This window comes from Homo sapiens, chromosome 3 (assembly GCF_000001405.40).
Source record: "Homo sapiens chromosome 3, GRCh38.p14 Primary Assembly".
NCBI lineage: Eukaryota > Metazoa > Chordata > Mammalia > Primates > Hominidae > Homo > Homo sapiens.
In genome coordinates this window covers 90,387,923-90,407,707 of record NC_000003.12, presented here as the reverse complement: position 1 = coordinate 90,407,707, position 19,785 = coordinate 90,387,923, and the positions used below count along the sequence as shown (strand labels likewise).

General features: G+C 37.0%; 3 annotated features.

Moving 5' to 3' along the window:
• Positions 8,289-9,193: an enhancer, noted in NCBI's record as "OCT4-NANOG hESC enhancer chr3:90447665-90448569 (GRCh37/hg19 assembly coordinates)". NCBI's record gives its function as "activates a minimal SCP1, AML or CMV promoter by ChIP-STARR-seq in primed H9 embryonic stem cells {active_cell/tissue: H9 hESC(primed)}" and the evidence as "EXISTENCE:reporter gene assay evidence [ECO:0000049][PMID:30033119]".
• Positions 14,643-15,144: an enhancer, noted in NCBI's record as "NANOG hESC enhancer chr3:90441714-90442215 (GRCh37/hg19 assembly coordinates)". NCBI's record gives its function as "activates a minimal SCP1, AML or CMV promoter by ChIP-STARR-seq in primed H9 embryonic stem cells {active_cell/tissue: H9 hESC(primed)}" and the evidence as "EXISTENCE:reporter gene assay evidence [ECO:0000049][PMID:30033119]".
• Positions 15,159-16,083: an enhancer, noted in NCBI's record as "OCT4-NANOG hESC enhancer chr3:90440775-90441699 (GRCh37/hg19 assembly coordinates)". NCBI's record gives its function as "activates a minimal SCP1, AML or CMV promoter by ChIP-STARR-seq in primed H9 embryonic stem cells {active_cell/tissue: H9 hESC(primed)}" and the evidence as "EXISTENCE:reporter gene assay evidence [ECO:0000049][PMID:30033119]".

Here is a 19,785-nt window from a genome sequence, read left to right as displayed (position 1 = left end):
AGATAACTTTTCATAGAGCAGTTTTGAAACATTCTTTTCATAGAATCTGCAATGGATATTTGGACTGCTTTGAGGCCTTCATAGGAAACAGGAATATTGTCACATAAAAACTATACAGAAGCATTCTCACAAACTTCTTTGTTATATGTCCACCCAACTCACAGAGTTAAACCTTTCTTTTGGTAGAGCAGTTTTGAAAAACCCTTTTTGTAGTATCAGCAAGTGGACATTTGGAAAGCTTTTAGGCCAGTGGTGGAAAAGGAAATATCTTCACACAAAAAACAGACAGAAGCATTCTGAGAAACTTCTTTGTGATGTTTGCAATCAACTCACAGAGTTGAACCTACTTTTTAAGAGAGCAGATTTGAAACACTCTTTTCCTTGAATCTGCAAGTGCATATTTGGACTGTTTTGTGGCCTTCGTTGGAAACGGGAAAATCTTCACATAAAAACTAGACAGAAGCATTCACAGAAGCTTCTTTGTGATGTGTGCATTCACTTCACAGAGTTGAACGTTTCTTTTGATAGAGCAGTTTTGAAACACTCTTTTTGTAGAATCTGCAAGTGGATATTTGGATATCTTTGAGGCCTATGGTGGAGAAGGAAATATCTTCACATAAAAACTAGACAGAAGCATTCTCAGAAACTTCTTTGTGATGTTAGCATTCAACTCACAGAGTTGAAGTTACCTTTTCATAGAGCAGTTTTGAAAAACTCTTTTCGTAGAATCCGCAAGTGGATATTTGGACTGCTTTTAGGCCTTCGTTGGAAACGGGAATATCTTCACATAAAAACTAGACAGAAGAGTTCTCAGAAACTTCTTTGTGTTGTGTGCATTCAACTCACATGTTTGAACCTTTCTTTTGATAGAGCAGTTTTGAAACACTCTTTTTGTAGAATCTGCAAGTGGACATTTGCAGAGCTTTGTGGCCTATGGTGGAAAAGGAAAAATTTTCACATAAAAACTAGACAGAAGCATTCCCAGAAACATCTTTATGATGTTTGCATTCAACTTACAGAGTGGAAAGTACCTTTTCATAGAGCAGTTTTGAAACACTCTTGTCGTAGTATCAGCAAGATGATATTTGGACTGCTTTGAGGCCTTCTTTGGAAAAGGGTATATCTTCACATAAAAACTAGACAGAAGCATTCTCAGAAACTTCTTTGTGATGTTAGCATTCAACTCACAGAGTTGAAGTTACCTTTTCATAGAGCAGTTTTGAAAAACTCTTTTCGTAGAATCCGCAAGTGGATATTTGGACTGCTTTTAGGCCTTCGTTGGAAACGGGAATATCTTCACATAAAAACTAGACAGAAGAGTTCTCAGAAACTTCTTTGTGTTGTGTGCATTCAACTCACATGTTTGAACCTTTCTTTTGATAGAGCAGTTTTGAAACACTCTTTTTGTAGAATCTGCAAGTGGACATTTGCAGAGCTTTGTGGCCTATGGTGGAAAAGGAAAAATTTTCACATAAAAACTAGACAGAAGCATTCCCAGAAACATCTTTATGATGTTTGCATTCAACTTACAGAGTGGAAAGTACCTTTTCATAGAGCAGTTTTGAAACACTCTTGTCGTAGTATCAGCAAGATGATATTTGGACTGCTTTGAGGCCTTCTTTGGAAAAGGGTATATCTTCACATAAAAACTAGAAAGAAGCATCCTCAGAAACTTCTTTGTGATATGTGCACACAACTCACAGACTTGTACTTCTCTTTTGATAGAGCAGTTTTTCAACACTCTTTTTATAGAATCTGCATGCGGACATTTGGAAAGCTTTGAGGCCTATGGTGGAAAAGGAAATATCTTCACATTAAAACCAGACAGAAGCATTCTAAGAAACTTCTTTGTGATGTTTGCATTCAACTCACAGAGTTGACCAACCCTTTTCATAGAGCAGTTTTGAAACACTCTTTTCTTACAATCTGCAAGTGGATATTTGGACTGCTTTGAGGCTTTCATTGGAAACGGGAAGATTTTCACATAAAAACTAGACGAAAGCATTCTCAGAAACTTCTTTGTGATGTGTTTATTCAACTCACGGAGTTGAACCTTTCTTTTGATAGAGCTGTTTTGAAACACTCTTTTTGTGGATCATCAAGTGGACATTTGGAGAGCTTTGAGGCCTACAGTAGAAAAGGAAATATATACACGTAAAAACTAGACAGAAGCATTCTCAGAAACTTCTTTGTGATGTTTGCATTCAACTCAAAGAGCTGAAGATACCTTTTCATAGAGCAGTTTTGAAACACTCATTTCATAGAATCTGTAAGTGGATATGTGGACTGCTTGGAGGCCTTCGTTGGAAACCGGAATATGTTCACATAAAAACCAGACAGCAGCATTCTCAGAAACTTCTTTGTGATGTGTGCATTCAACTCACAGAGTTGAACCTTTCTTTTCATAGAGGACTTTTGAAACACACTTTTGTAGAATCTGCAAGTGGACATTTGGAGAGCCCTGAGGCCTATGGTGGAAAATGAAATATCTACACATAAAAATTAGACAGAAGCATTCTCAGACACTTCTTTGTGATGTGTGCATTCGACTCACAGAGTTGAAGATACCTTTTCAAAGAGCAGTTTTGAAACTCTCTTTTCGCAATATCTGCAAGTGGATATTTGGACTGCTTTGAGGCCTTCACTGGAAACGGGTATATCTTCACATAAAAACTAGACAGATGCATTCTCAGAAACTTTTTTGTTATGTTTGCATTCATCTCACAGAGTTGATGATTTCTTTTCATAGAGCAGTTTTGAAACACTCTTTTCGTAAAATCTGCAAGTGGATATTTGGACTGCTTTGTGGCCTTGTTGGAAACGGGAATATCTTCACTTAAAAAGTAGACAGAAGCATTCTCAGAAACGTCTTTGTAATGTGTGCATTCAACTCACAGATTTGAATCTTTCTTTTGATAGAGCAGTATTGAAACACCCTTTTTGTACAATCTGCAAGTGGACATTTGGAGTGTTTTGAGCCAAATAGTGGAAAAAGAAATATCTACACATAAAAACTAGACAGAGGCATGCTCAGAAACTTCTTTGTGTTGTTTGCATTCAACTCACAGAGTTGAAGATACCTTTTCATAGAGCAGTCTTGAAACACTCTTTTCGTAGAATCTGCAAGTGAATATTTGGACTGCTTTGAGGCCTTCGTTGGAAACTGGAATATCTTCACATAAAAACTAGACAGAAGCATTCTCAGAAAGTTCTTTGTGAAGTGTGCATTCATTTCACTGATATATACCTTTCTTTTGATACAGCAGTTTTGAAACACTATTTTTAGAATCTGCAAGGGGACATTGGGAGAGCTTTGAGGCCTACAATGGAAAAGGAAATATCTTCACATAAAAACTAGACAGAATCATTCTCAGAAACATCTTTGTGATGTGTGCATTCAACTGACTGATTTGAAGATACCTTTTCATAGAGCTGTTTTGAAACACTCTTTTCGTGGAATGTGCAATTGGATATTTGGACTGCTTTGAGGCCTTCATTGGAAACGGGATTATCTTTACATAAGAACTATACAGAAACATTCTCAGAAACTTCTTTGTGATGTGAGCATTGCACTCACAGATTTGAACCTTTCTTTTCATAGAGCAGTTTTGAAACACTCTTTTTGTAGTATCTGCAAGTGGACATTTGGAGAGTTTTGAGGACAATGGTGGAAAAAGAAATACCTACACATAAACGCTAGACAGAATCCTTCTCAGAAACTTCTTTGTGATGTTTGCATTCAACTCACAGAGTTGAAGATATCTTCTCATAGAGCAGTTTTGAAACACTCTTTTCGTAGAATCTGCAAGTGAATATTTGGACTGCTTTGAGACCTTCGTTTGAAACTGGAATACCTACACATAAACACTGGACAGAAGTCTTCTCAGAAACTTATTTGTGATGTGTACATTCAACTCACAGAGTTGAACCTTTCGATAGACCAGTTTTGAAACACACTTTTTGTAGAATCTTTAAGTGGACCTTCGGATAGCTTTGAGGCCTATGGTGGAAAAGGAAATATCTACACATAAAAACTAGACAGAAGCATTCTCAGAAACTTCTTTGTGATGCTAGCATTCACCTCACAGAGTTGAAGATACCTTTTCATAGAGGAGTTTTGGAACACTCTTTTCAAAGTATCTGCAAGTGGATGTTTGGACTGCTTTGAGGCCCTCGTTGGAAATGAGAATATCTTCACATAAAATCTATTCAGAAGAATTCTCAGAAACTTCTTTGTGATGTGTGCATTCAACTCACAGATTTGATCCTTTCTTTTGATAGAGCAGTTTTGAAACACTCTTTTTGTAGAATCTGAAAGTGGATATTTGGAGAGCTTTGAGGCCTAGGGTGGAAAAGGAAATATCTACACATAAAAACTAGACAGACAGAAGCATTCTCATAAACTTCTTTTTGTGATGTTTGCATTCAACTCACAGAGTTGAAGATACCTTTTTAAAGAGCAGTTTTGAAACACTCTTTTCATAGCATATGCAAGTGGATATTTGGACTGCTTTGAGGCCTTCAATGGAAACGGGTATATCTTCACAGAAAAACTAGCCAGAAGCATTGTCAGAAACTTCTTTCTGATGTGTGCATTCAATTCACAGATTTGTACCTTTCTATTGATAGAGCAGTTGTGAAACATTATTTTTAGAATCTGCAAGTGGACATTTGGAGACCCTTCAGGCCGACTTTGCAAAAGGAAATATTTTCACATAAAAACTAGACAGAAGCATTCTCAGAAACTTCTTTTTGATGTTTGCATTCAATTCACAGAGTTGAACATAGCTTTTCATAGAGCAGTTTTGAAAAACTCTTTTCATAGAATCTGCAAGTGGATATTTGGACTGCTTTGAGACCTTCGTTTGAAACTGGAATACCTACACATAAACACTAGACAGAAGACTTCTCAGAATCTTCTTTGTGATGTGTGCATTCAACTCACAGAGTTGAACCTTTCTTTTGATAGAGCAGTTTTGAAACACACTTTTGTAGAATCTTCAAGTGGACCTTTGGTCAGCTTTGAGGCCTATGGTGGAAAAGGAAATATCTACACATAAAAACTAGACAGAAGCATTCTCAGAAACTTCTTTGGATGCTAGCATTCACCACACAGAGTTGAGGATACCTTTTCATAGAGCAGTTTTGAAACTCTCTTTTCATAGTATCTGCAAGTGGATGTTTTGGACAGCTTTGAGGCCTTCGTTGGAAATGGGAATATCTTCACATAAAATCTATTCAGAAGAATTCTCAGAAACTTCTTTGTGATGTGTGCGTTCAACCCACAGTGTGGAACCTCTCTTTTGATAGAGCAGTTTTGAAGCACTCTTTTTGTAGAATCTGCAAGTGGACATTTGGAGTGCTTTGAGCCCTATGGTGGAAAAGGAAATATCCACACATAAAAATTAGACAGAACATTCTCAGGAACTTCTTTGTGATGTTTTCATTCAACTCAGAGAGTTGAACATATCTTTTCATAGAGCAGTTTTGAAACCTTCTTTTCTCAGACTGTACAAGTGGATATTTGGACTGCTTTGAGGCCTTCGTTGAATGGGAATATCTTCACATAAAAACTATGTGGAAGCATTCTCAGAAACTTACAGGAAAGGGAATATCACACTCTGGGAACTGTTTTGGGTTGGGGGTAGGGGGGAGGGATAGCACTGGGAGATGCACCTAATGCTGGATGACGAGTTAGTGGGTGCAGCGCACCAGCATGGCAAATGTATACATATGTAACTAACCTGCACAATGTGCACATGTACCCTAAAACTTAAAGTATACTAATAAAGAATAAATTAAAAAAAAGGAAACTGCTTTGTGATGTGTGCATTCAACTCACAGACTTGAACCTTTCTTTTATAGAACAGTTCTGAAACACTCTTTTGTAGAATCTGCAAGTGGGAATTTGGAGAGCTTTGAGGCCTATGGTGGAAAAGGAAATATGTACACATAAAACTAGACAGAAGCATTCTCAGAAAATTCTTTATGATATTTGCATTCAACTCACAGAGCTGAAGATACTTTTCATAGAGCAGTTTTGAAACACTCTTTTTATAGAATCTGCAAGTGGATATGTGGACTGCTTTGAGGACATCGTTGGAAACCGGAATATCTTCACATAAAAACTAGACAGAAGCATTCTCAGAAACTTCTTTGTGGTGTGTGCATTCAACTCACAGAGTTGAACCTTTCTTTTGATAGAGGACTTTTGAAACACTCTTTTTGTAGAATCTGCAAGTGGACATTTGGAGAGCCTTGAGGCCTATGGTGGAAAAGTAAATATCTACACATAAAAATTAGACAGAAGCATTCTCAGAAACTTCTTTGTGATGTGTGCATTCAACTCACAGAGTTGAAGATACATTTTCAAAGAGCCGTTCGAAGCTCTCTTTTCATAGAATCTTAAGTGGATATTTGGACTGCTTTGAGGCCTTCACTGGAAACGGGTATATCTTCACATAAAAACTAGACAGAAGCATTCTCAGAAACTTCTTTGTGATGTTTGCATTCACCTCACAGAGTTGAAGATACCTTTCCATAGAGCAGTTTTGAAACACTCTTTTCGTAAAATCTGCAAGTGGACATTTGGACTGCTTTGTGGCTTTGTTGGAAACGGGAATATCTTCACATAAAAAGTAGACAGAAGCATTCTCAGGAACTTCTTTGTAATGTGTTCATTCAGCTCACAGATTTGAATCTTTCTTTTGATAGAGCAGTTTTGAAACACCCTTTTTGACAATCTGCATGTGGACATTTGGAGAGTTTTGAGGCGAATGGTGGAAAAAGAAATATCTACACATAAAAACTAGACAGTAGCCTTCTCAGAAACTTCTTTGTGTTGTTTGCATTCAACTCACAGAGTTGAAGATAGGTTTTCATAGAGCAGTCTTGAAACACTGTTTTCGTAGAATCTGCAAGTGAACATTTGGACTGCTTTGAGGCCTTCGTTGGAAACTGGATTATCTTCACATAAAAACTAGACAGAAACATTCTCAGAAACTTCTTTGTGAAGTGTGCATTCAATTCACTGATTTGTACCTTTCTTTTGATAGAGCAGTTTTGAAACACTATTTTTGGAATCTGCAAGGGGACATTGGTAGATCTTTGAGGCATACGGTGGAAAAGGAAATATCTTCAAATAAAAATTAGACAGAATCATTATCAGAAACTTCTTTGTGATGTGTGCATTCAACTCACAGATTTGAAGATACCTTTTCATAGAGCTCTTTTGAAATACCCTTTCGTAGAATGTGCAATGGGATATTTGGACTGCTTTGAGACTTTCATTGGAAACGGGAATATCTTCACACAAAAACTAGATATAAGCATTCTCAGAAACTTCTTTGTGCTGTGTGCATTCAACTCACAGATTTGAACCTTTCTTTTCATAGAGTAGTTTTGAAACACTCTTTTTGTACTCTCTGCAAGTGGACATTTGGAGAGTTTTGAGGCCAATGGTGGAAAAAGAAATACCTACACACAAACAGTAGACAGAATCCTTCTCAGAAACTTCATTGTGATATTTGCTTTCAACTCACGGAGTTGAAGATACCTTTTCATAGAGCAGTTTTGAAACACTCTTTTCGTAGAATCTGCAAGTGTATATTTGAACTTCTTTGAGGTGTTCATTGGAAACGGGTATATCTTCACACAAAAACTAGACAGAAGCAGTCTCAGAAACTTCTTTGTCTTGTTTGCAGTCAAATCACAGAGTTGAACGTAACTTTCCATAGAGCAGTTTTGAAACACTCTTTTCGTAGAATCTGCAAGTGAATATTTTTACTGCTTTGAGGCCTCCATTGGAAACGGGAATATCGTCACATAAAAATTATACAGAATCATTCACAGAAACTTCTTTGTGATGTGTTCATTCAACTCACAGGGTTGAACCTTTCTTTTGATAGAGCAGTTTTGAAACACTCTTTTTGTAGAATCTGCAAGTGGACATTTGGAGAGCTCTGAGGCCTAAGGTGGAAAAGGAAATATCTTGACATAAAAACTAGATAGAAGCATTCTCAGAAACTTCTTTGGGATGCGTGCCTTCAACTCACAGAGTTAAACCTTTCTTTTGATAGAGCAGTTTTGAAACACTCTATTCGTTGAATCTGCAAGCGGACATTTGGAGAGATTTGAGTCCTATGGTGGCAAAGGTAATATCTTCAAGTAGAAACTAGACAGAACAATTTTCAGAAACTTCTTTGTGATGTTTGCATTCAACACACAGAGTTGAACATACCTTTTCATACAGCAGTTTTGAAACACTCTTTTGTTTATATCTACAAATGGATATTTGGACTGCTTAGAGGCCTTCTTTGGAAACGGGAATATATTCACATAAAAACTAGACAGAAGCATTCTCAGAAACGTCTCTGTGATGTGTGCATTCAACTCACAGAGTTGAACCTTTCTTTTGATAGAGCAGTTTTGAAACACTCTTTATGTATTATCTGCAAGTGGACATTTGGAGAGCTTTGAGGCCTATTGTGGAAAACGAAATATCTACACATAAAAACTAGACAGAAGCATTCTCAGAAACTTCTTTGAGATGTTTGCATTCAACACACAGTGTTGAACATACCTTTTCATAGAGCAGTTTTGAAACACTCTTTTCGTAGAATCTGCAAGTGGATATTGGGACTGCATTGAGGCCTTCGTAGGAAAGGGGAATATCTTCACCTAAAAAGTAGACAAAATCATTCTCAAAAACTTCTTTGTGATGAGTGCATTCAACTCACAGAGTTGAACCTTTCTTTTGATAGAGCAGTTTTGAAACACTCTTTTTCTAGTATCTGCAAGTGGACATTTGGAGAGCTTGGAGGCCTATGGTGGAAAAGGAAATATCTTCACATAAAAACTAGACAGAAGCATTCTCAGAAACATCTTTGTGATGTTTGCATTCAGTACACAGAGTTGAACACAACTTTTCTTAGAGTAGTTTTGAAACACTCTTTTCTTTATATCTGCAAGTGGACATTTGGACTGCTTAGAGGCCTTCATTGGAAACGGGATTATATTCACATAAAAACTGGACAGAAACATTCTCAGAAACTTCTTTGTGATGAGTGCATTCATCTCACAGAGTTGAACCTTTCTTTTGTTAGAGCAGTTTTGAAACACTCTTTTTCTAGAATATGCAAGTGGATATTTGGAGTGCTTTGAGGCCTATTTTGGAAAGAGAAATATCTTCACATTAAAACTAGACAGAAGCATTCTGAGAAACTTCTTCGTGATATGTGCATTCATATCACATAGTTGAACCTATCTTTTGATTGAGCAGTTTTGAAACACTCTTTTTGTTGAATCTGCAAATGGATATTTGGAGCCCTTAGCGGAATATGGTGGAAAACGAAATATCTTCACACGAAAACTACACAGAAGCTTTCTGAGAAATTTCTTGGTGATGTGTGCATTCACCTCATAGATGTGAATCTGTTTTTTTCATTGAGCAGTTTGGAAACACTCTTTTTGTAGAATCTGAAAGTGGATATTTGGAACGCTTTGGTGCCTATGGTGGAAAAGGAAATATGTTCACATAAAAACTACACAGAAGCATTCTGAGAAACTTATTTGTGATGTTTGCCTTCATCTCACAGACTTGAACATTTCTTTTGATTGAGCAGTTATGAAACACTCTTTTAATGGAATCTGCAAGTGGATATTTGGAGCACTTTTTGGCCTAATGTGGAAAAGGAAATATCTTCACATAAAAACTACACAGAACAATTCTCAGAAACTCCTTTATGATGTGTGCATTCATCTCACATAGTTGAAACTTTCTTTTGATTGAGCAGCTTTGAAACACAGTTTTTGAGGTATCTGCAAGTGGATAATTTCTGCACTTTGAGGCTTATGGTGGAAAATGAAATATCTTCACATTAAAACTACACAGAATCATTCTCAGAAACTTCTTTGTGATGTGTCCATTCATATAACGGAGTTGAACCTTTCTTTTGGTTGAACAGTTTGGATACACTCTTTTTGTAGCACCTACAAGTGGATATTTCAAGCACTTTGAGGCATACTGTAGAAAAGGAAATATCTTCACGTAAGTACTACAGGGAAGCATTCTAAGAAACTTCTTTGTGATGTGTCCATTCATCTCACTTTGTTGAACCTTTCTTTTGATTGAGCAGTTTTGAAACACTTTTTTTGTGGAATCTCTAAGTGGATATTTGGAGTGCTTTAGGGCCTGTGGTGGGAAAGGAAATATCTTCACATAAAAACTACAGAGAAACATTCTGAGAAACTTCTTTGTGATGTGTGCATTCCTCTCACAGAGTTGAACCTATCTTTGGATTGAGCAGCTTTGAATGTCTATTTTTAGAATATCTGCAAGTGGATATTTTGATTCCTTTGCTGCCTATTTTGGAAAAGGTAATATCTTCACCTAAAAACTACACAGAAGCATTCTGAGAAACTTCTTTCTGATGTGTGCATTCATCTCACAGTGTTGAACTTTTATTTTGATTGAGCAGATTTGAAACACTCTTTTTATAGTATCTACAAGTGGATAATTGAAGCACTTTGAGGCCTACTGTGGAAAAGGAAATATCTTTACAGAAAAACTACACTGATGCATTCTGAGAAAGTTCTTTGTGATGTGTGCATTCACCTCACAGAGTTGATCCTTTCTTTTGATTGAGTGGTTTTGAATCTCTTCTTGTAGAATCTGCAAGTGGATATTTATAGACCTTTCAGCCTATTTTGGAAACGGAAATATCTTCACATAAAAGCTACACAGAAGCATTCTGAGAAACTTCTCTGAGATGTGTGCATTCTTCTCACAGAGTTGAAACTTTCTTTGGTTTGAGCATTTTTGAAACACGCTTTTTGTAGACTTGGCAGGTGGATATTTGGAGGACTTTGAGACATATTGTGGAAAACGAAATATCTACACAGAAAAACTACACAGAAGCTTTCTGAGAAACTCCTTTGTTCAGTGTGCATTCATGTCACAGTGTTGAACCTTTCTTTTGATAGAGCAGTTTGGAAACACTCTTTTTTTAGAATCTCCAAGTGGATATTTGGAGCGCTTTGAGGCCTATCATGGAAAAGGAAATAAGTTCACAGAAAAACTACACAGAAGCATTCTGAGAAACTTCTCTGAGATGTGTGCATTCTTCTCACAGAGTTGAAACTTTCTTTGGATTGAGCATTTTTGAAACACACTTTTTGTAGAATCGGCAGGTGGATATTTGGAGCACTCTGAGACATATTGTGGAAAACGAAATATCTACACAGAAAAACTACACAGAAGCTTTCTGAGAAACTCCTTTGTTCAGTGTGCATTCATGTCACAGTGTTGAACCTTTCTTTTGATAGAGCAGTTTGGAAACACTCTTTTTTTAGAATCTCCAAGTCGATATTTGGAGTGCTTTGAGGCCTATCATGGAAAAGGAAATAAGTTCACAGAAAAACTACACAGAAGCATTCTGAGAAACTTCTTTGTGATGTGTGCATTCATCCCACAGAATCAAAACTTTCTTTTGATAGAGCAGTTTTGAAGCACTCTTTTTATAGGATCTGCAAGTGGATATTTGGAGCGCTTTGAGTCCTATTATGGAAAAGGAAATATCTTCACATAAAAACAACACAGAAGGATTCTGAGAAACTTCTTCATGATGTGTGCATTGATCTCACAGAGTTGAAATTTTCTTTTGATTGAGCAGTTTTGAAACACTCTTTTTGTATAATCGACAGGTGGATATTTGGACTACTTTGGGACATATTGTGGAAAAGGAAATATCTTCACAAAAATCCTAAATGGAAACATTCTGAGAAACTTTTTTGTTTTGTGTGCATTCATCTCACAGGGTTGAGTCTTTCTTTTGACTGAACAGTTTGGAAACAGTCTTTTGTAGAATCTCCAAGTGGATATTAAGAGTGCTTTGGGGCTCATGGTTGAAAAGGAAATATCTTCACATAAAAACTAAACAGAAGCATTCTGAGAAACTTCTTTGTGCTGTGTGCATTCAACTCACAGAGCTGAATCTTTCTTTTGACTGAGCAGTTTTGAATCTCTCTTTTTGTAGAATCTGTATGTACATATTTAGAGCCCATTGCGGTCTATTTTGGAATAGGAAATAAGTTCACATAAAAACTACACAGAAGCATTCTAAGAAACTTCTTTGTGACGTGTGCATTCATCTCCCAGAGTTGACCCTTTCTTTTGATTGCACAGTTTGGAAACAGTCTTTTTGTAGAATCTGCAACTGGATATTTGGAGCGCATTGAGGCCTATGGTGGAAAAGGAAATATCTTCCCATAAAAACTAGACAGAAGAGTTCTGAGAAACTTATTTGTGATGTCTGCATTCCACTCACAGATTTGAACCTATCTTTAGATTGAGCAGTTTTGAATCTCTCTTTTTGTGGATATTTGGAGCACTTTGCTGCTCCAAATTTTGGAAAATGAAATATCTTCACAAAAAAAATACACAGAAGCATTCTGAGAAACTTCTTTCTGATGTGTGCATTTATCTCACACTTTTGAACTTTTATTCTGATTTTGCGGATTTGAAACACACTTTTTATAGAATCTGCATGTGGATAATTGCAGCGTATTGAGGCCTATTGTGGAAAAAGAAATATCTTCACAGGAAAAGTACACAGAACCATTCTGAGAAACTTTGTTGTGATGAGTGCATTCATGTCACAGAGTTGAACCTTTCTTTTGATTCAGTTTGGAACACTGTTTTTGTAGAATCTGCAAGTGGATATTTGGAGCACTTTGAGGTATCAGGTGGAAAAGGAAATATCTTCATTTAAAAACTGCACAGAAGCATTCTGAGAAACTTCTCTGTGATGTGTGCCTTCAACTCACAGACTTGAACATATTTTGATTGAGCAGTTTTGAAACACTCTATTTATAGTATCTGCAAGTGAATATTTGGAGCGCTTTGAGGCCTATTTTGGAAAAGGAAACATCTTCACAAAAAAACTACACAGAAGCATTCTTAGAAACTCCTTTGTGATGTGTGCATTCAACTCACATAGTTGAATGTATCTTTTGATTGATCGGTTATGAATTTCTGTTTCTGTAGAATCTGCAACTGGATATTTGGAGCCCTTTCCTGCCTATTTTGTAAAAGGAAATAAGTTAACATAAAAACTACACAGAAGCATTCTCAGAAACTTCTTTCTGATGTGTGCATTCATCTCACAGTGTTGAAACTTTATTTTGATTGAGCAGTTTTGAAACACTCTATTTGTAGTATCTGCAAGTGAATATTTGGAGCGCTTTGAGGCCTATTGTGGAAAAGGAAATATCTTCACATAAAAACTACAAAGAAGCATTTTGAGAAAGTTCTTTGTGATGTTTGCATTCATCTCACAGACTTGAACCTATCTTTTGATAGAGCAGTTTTGAAACTCTCTTTTTGTAGAATGTGCAAGTGGAAATGTGGAGAGCTTTGAGGCCTGTGGTGGAAAAGGAAATATCTTCACATAAAAACGACACAGAAGAACTCTGAGAAACTTCTTTGTGTGTGTGCATTCAACTCACAGATGTGAACATATCTTTTGATAGAGCAGCTTTGAAACTCTCTTTTTGTAGAATCTGCAATTGGATATTTGGAGCCATTTGCTGCCTAAGGTGGAAAAGCAAATATCTTCACGTAAAAACTACACAGAAGCATTGTGAGAAAATTCTCTGAGATGTGTGCATTCTTCTCACAGAGTTGAAACTTTCATTGATTGAGCATTTTTGAAAAACCCTTTTTGTAGAATCAGCAGGCTGCTATTTGGAGAACTTTGAGACCTATTGTGGAAAACAAACTATCTTCACAGAAAAACTACACAGAAGCTTTCTGAGAAACTTATTTGTATTGTGTGCATTCATCTCACAGAGCTGAACATTTCTTTTGATAGAGCAGTTTGGAAACATTGTTTTCTTAGAATCTCCAAGAAGATATCTGGAGTGCTTTGAGGTTTATCGTGGAAAAGGAAATACCTTCACATAAAAACTACACAGAAGCATTCTGAGAAACTACTTTGTGATGTGTGCATTCATCTCACAAAGTTGAACCTTCCTTTTATTTGAGCAGTTGGAAACACTCTTTTTGTAGTATCTGCAAGTGGATACTTGGAGTGCTTTGTGGCCTATGGTGGAAAAGGAAATCTATTCATATGAAAACTACACTGAAGTATTCTGAGCTACTTCTTTGTGATGTGTGAATTCATCTCACAGAGTTGAAACTTTCTTTTGATTGAGCAGTTTGCAAACACTCTTTTTGTAAAATCTGCATTGTATTTTTGGAGTGCTTTGAGGCCTATTGGGGAAAAGGAAATAACTTCACATGAAAACCACACAGAAGCATTCTGAGAAACTTCTTTGTGATGTGTGCATTCCACTCACAGAGTTGAACCTTTCTTTTGATTGAGCAGTATTGATTCTCTCTTTTTGTGGAATCTGCAATTGGATATTTGGAGCCCTTGTCTATTTTGGAAAAGGAAATATTTTCACATAAAAACTACAGAGAAGCATTCTGAGAAACTTCTTTGTGATGTGTGCATTCCACACACAGAGTTGAACCTATCTTTGGATTGAGCAGCTTTGAATGTCTATTTTTGCGGAATCTGCAAGTGCATGTTTTGATTCCTTTGCTGCTTATTTTGGAAAAGGAAATATCTTCACCTAAAAACTACACAGAAGCATTCTGAGAAACTGCTTTGTGATGTGTGCATTCATCTCACAGTGTTGAACCTTTATTTTGATTGAGCAGATTGTGAGCACTCTTTTTATAGAATCTGCAAGTGGAAAATGAAGTGCTTTGAGGCCTATTGTGGAAAAGGAAATCTTTTCACAGAAAAACTACCCAGAAGCACTCTGAGAAACTTCTTTGTGATGTGAGCATTCATGTCACAGAGTTGAACCTTTCTTTTGATTGAGTAGTTTAGAAACACTCTTTTTGTAGAGTCTGCAAGTGGATATCTGGAGTGCTTTGAGGCCTATCATGGAAATGGAAATATCTTCACATAAAAACTAGACAGAAGCATTCTGAGAAACTACTTTGCGATGTGTGCATTCATCTCACAAAGTTGAACCTTCCTTTTATTTGAGCAGTTGGACACACTATTTTTGTAGTATCTGCAAGTGGATACTTGGAGTGCTTTGTGGCCTATGGTGGAAAAGGAAATCTATTCATATGAAAACTACACTGAAGTATTCTGAGCAACTTCTTTGTGATGTGTGAATTCAACTCACAGAGTTGAAACTTTCTTTTGATTGAGCTGTTTGCAAACACTCTTTTTGTAAAATTTGCAATGTATTTTTCGAGTGCTTTGAGGCCTATTGGGGAAAAGGAAATAACTTCACATGAAAACCACACAGAAGCATTCTGAGAAACTTCTTTGTGATGTGTGCATTCCACTCACAGAGTTGAACCTTTCTTTTGATTGAGCAGTATTGATTCTCTCTTTTTGTGGAATCTGCAATTGGATATTTGCAGCCCTTGTCTATCTATTTTGGAAAAGGAAATATGCTCACATAAAAACTACAGAGAAGCATTCTGAGAAACTTCTTTGTGATGTGTGCATTCCACACACAGAGTTGAACCTATCTTTGGATTGAGCAGCTTTGAATGTCTATTTTTGCGGAATCTGTAAGTGCATATTTTGATTCCCTTGCTGCTTATTTTGGAAAAGGAAATATCTTCACCTAAAAACTACATAGAAACATTCTGAGAGACTTCTTTGTGATGGGTGCATTCATCTCACAGTGTTGAACCTTTATTTTGATTGAGCAGATTTCGAACACTCTTTTTAAAGAATATGCAAGTGGAAACTTGAAGCACTTTGAGGACTATTGTGGAAGAGAAAATATTTTCACAGAAAAAGTACCCAGAAGCGTTCTGAGAAACTTCTTTGTGATGTGTGCATTCATGACACAGAGTTGAACCTTTCTTTTGATTGAGTAGTTTGGAAACACTCTTTTTGTAGAGTCTGCAAGTCGATATTGGGAGCGCTTTGATTCATATGGTGGAAAAGTATATATCTTCACATAAAAACTACACAAAGCATTCTGAGAAACTTCTCTGTGATGTGTGCATTCATCTCACAGCGTTGAACCTGTCTTTTGATTCAGTAGTTTTGAAAAACTCTTTTTGAAGAATCTGCAATTGGAAACTTGAAGCGCTTTGATGCCTATTGTGGAAAAGGAAATATCTTCACATAAAAACTACACAGACGCATTCTGAGAAACTCTTTGTGATGTGTGCATTCAATTCACAGAGGTGAATCTATCTTTTGATTGACAAGTTTTGAATCTCTGTTTTTGTAGAATCTGCAAGTGGATATTTTGAGCCCTTCTTGCCTTTTTGGAAAAGGAAATAAGTTCACATAAAAACTACACAGAAGCATTCTGAGAAACTTCTTTGTGATGAGTGCATTCATCTTACAGAGTTGAAACTTTCTTTTGATTGAGCAGTTTTGAAAGACTCTTTTTGTAGTATCTGCAAGTGAATATTTGGAGCGTTTTGATGCCTACTGTGGAAAGGAAATATCTTCACATAAAAACTACACAGAAGCATTTTGAGAAAGTTCTTCATGATGTTTGCATTCATCTCACAGTGCTGAACCTATCTTTTGATTGAGCAGTTTGGAATCACTCTTTTTGTAGAATGTGCAACTGAAAATATGGAGAGTTTTGAGGACTGTGGTGGAAAAGGAAATATCTTCACATAAAAACGACACAGAAGCATTCTGAGAAACTTCTTTGTGATGTGTGCATTCAACTCAGAGAGGTGAACCTATCTTTTGATAGAGCAGTTTTGAACCTCTCTTTTTCTAGGCTCCGCAAGTGGATATTTGGAGCCATTTGCGGCCTATGGTGGAAGAGCAAATATCTTCACATAAAAACTACACAGAAGCATTGTGAGAAACTTCTCTGAGATGTGTGCATTCTTCTCACAGAGTTGAAAATTTATTTGATTGAGCATTTTTGAAACACCCTTCTTGTAGAATCGGCAAGTGGGTATTTGGAGCACTTTGAGACCTATTGTGGAAAACAAAATCTCTTCACATAAAAACTGCACAGAAGCTTTGTGAGGAACTTCTTTGTGTTGTGTGCATTCATCTCACAGAGTTGAACCTTTCTTTTGACAGAGCAGTTTGGAAACACTCTTTTTTCAGAATCTCCAAGTGGATATTTTGAGTGCTTTGAGGCCTATCATGGAAAAGGAAATATCTTCACATGAAAACTACACAGAAGCATTCTGAGAAACTACTTTGTGATGTGTGCAATCATCTTACAAAGTTGAAACTTTCTTTTATTTGAACAGTTGGAAACATTCTTTTTGTAGTATCTGCAAGTGGATAATTGGAGCGCTTTGTGGCCTATGGTGGAAAAGGAAATCTCTTCACATAAAAACTACACAGAAACATTCCGAGCAACTTCTTTGTGATGTGTGCATTCAACTCACAGAATTGAACCTTTCTTTTGATTAAGCAGTTTACAAACACTCTGTTTGTAGAATCTGCAATGTTTTATTGGAGTGCTTTGAGGCCTTTGGGGAAAAGGAAATATCTTCACGTGAAAACCACACAGAAGCACGTTGAGAAGCTTCTTGGTGATGTCTGCATACCATTCACAGAGTTGAACCTTTCTTTTGATATAGCAGTTTTGATTCTCTCTTTTTTTGTGGAATCTGCAATTGGATATTTGAAGCCCTTGGCTACCTATTTTGGAAAAGGAAATATCTTTACATAAAAACTACAGAGAAACATTCTGAGAAACTTCTCTGTGATATGTGCATTCATCTCACAGTGTTGAACCTTTATTTTGATTGAGCAGATTGTGAACACTCTTTTTACAGAATCTGCAAGTGGAAAATGAAGCGCTTTGAGGCCTATTGTGGAAAAGGAAATCTTTTCACAGAAAAACTACCCAGAAGCGTTCTGAGAAACTTCTTTGTGATGTGTGCATTCATGACACAGAGTTGAACCTTTCTTTTGATTGAGCAGTTTGGATACACTCTTTTTGTAGAGTCTTGAAGTGGATATCTGGAGTGCTTTGAGGCCTATCGTGGAAAAGGAAATATCTTCACATAAAAACTAAACAGAAGCATTCTGAGAAACTTCTCTGTGTTGTGTGCATTCATCTCGCAGCGTTGAACCTGTCTTTTGATTGAGAAGTTTTGAAACACTCTTTTTGAAGTGTCTGCAAGTGGAAACTTGAAACACTTTGATGGCTACTGTGGAAAATAAAATATCTTCACATAAAAACTACACAGAAGCACTCTGAGAAACTCTTTGTGATGTGTACATTCAACCCACAGAGGTGAATCTATCTTTCAATTGACCAGCTTTGAAACTTTGTTTTTGTAGAAACTGCAAGTGGATATTTTGAGCCCTTCTTGCCTTTTTGGAAAAGGAAATAAGTTCACATAAAAACTACACAGAAGCATTCTGAGAAACTTCTTTGTGATGAGTGCATTCATCTCACACAGTTGAAACTTTCTTTTGATTCAGCAGTTTCAAACACTCTTTTTGTAGAATCTGCAAGTGGATATTTGGAGAGCCTTGAAGCCCATTGTGGAAAAGGAAATATCTCCACATATCAACTACAAAGAAGCATTCTGAGGACTTCTTTATGATGTGTGAATTAATCTCAGAGACTTGAACCTTTCTTTTGATTGAGTAGTTTTGAAACAATCTTTTTGTATAATCTACAAGTGGATATTTTGAGCACTTAGAGTCCTATTCTGGAAAAGGAAATATCTACACATGTAAACTACATAGAAGCATTCTCAGAATCTTCTTTGTGATGTGTGCATTCAACTCACAGAGTTGAACATTTCTTTTGATTGAGCACTTTTAAAACACTCTTTTTAAAGTATCTGCAAGTGGATATTTGGAGCGCTTTGAGGCTTATTTTGGAAAAGGAAATATCTACACATAAAAACTACACAGAAGCATTCTCAGAAATTTCTTTGTGATGAGTGCATTCATTTCACAGAGTTGAAAATTTCTTTGATTGAGCTGTTTGGAATCAGTCTTTGTAGAATCTGCCACTGGATATTTGGAGCTCTTCGAGACCCATGGTGGAAAAGGAAATATCTTCACATAAAAACTACACAGAAGCATTATAAGAAACATCTTTGAGATGTGTGCATTGAATTCAAAGAGTTCAAACTTTCTTCTTTTGACTGATCAGTCTTGAAACATTATTTTTATATAATCTGCAAGTGGATATTTGGTGCACTTTGTGGCCTACAGTGGAAAAGGAAATATCTTCACATAAAAACTAGAAGGAAGGAGGAGCCAAGATGGCCAAATAGGAACAGCTCCGATCTACAGCTCCCAGTGTGAGCAATGCAGAAGATGGTGATTTCTGCATTTCCATCTGAGGTACCGGGTTCATCTCACTAGGGAGTGCCAGAGAGTGGGTGCAGCTCAGTGGGTGCATGGACCATGCGTGAAGTGAAGCAGGGTGAGACATTGCCTCACTTGGGAAGTGCAAGTGGTCAGGGAGTTCCCTTTCCGAGTCAAAGAAAGGGGTGACGGACGGCACCTGGAAAATCCGGTCACTCCCACCCGAATACTGTGCTTTTCTGATGGACTTAAAAAACGGCGCACAAGGAGATTATATCCCACACCTGGCTAGGAGGGTCCTACGCCCACAAAGTCTCGCTGATTGCTAGCACAGCAGTCTGAGATCAAACTGCAAGGTGGCAGCGAGGCTGGAAGAGGGGCACCCGCCATTGCCCAGGCTTGCTTAGGTAAACAAAGCAGCCAGGAAGCTCGAACTGGGTGGAGCCTACCACAGCTCAAGGAGGCCTGCCTG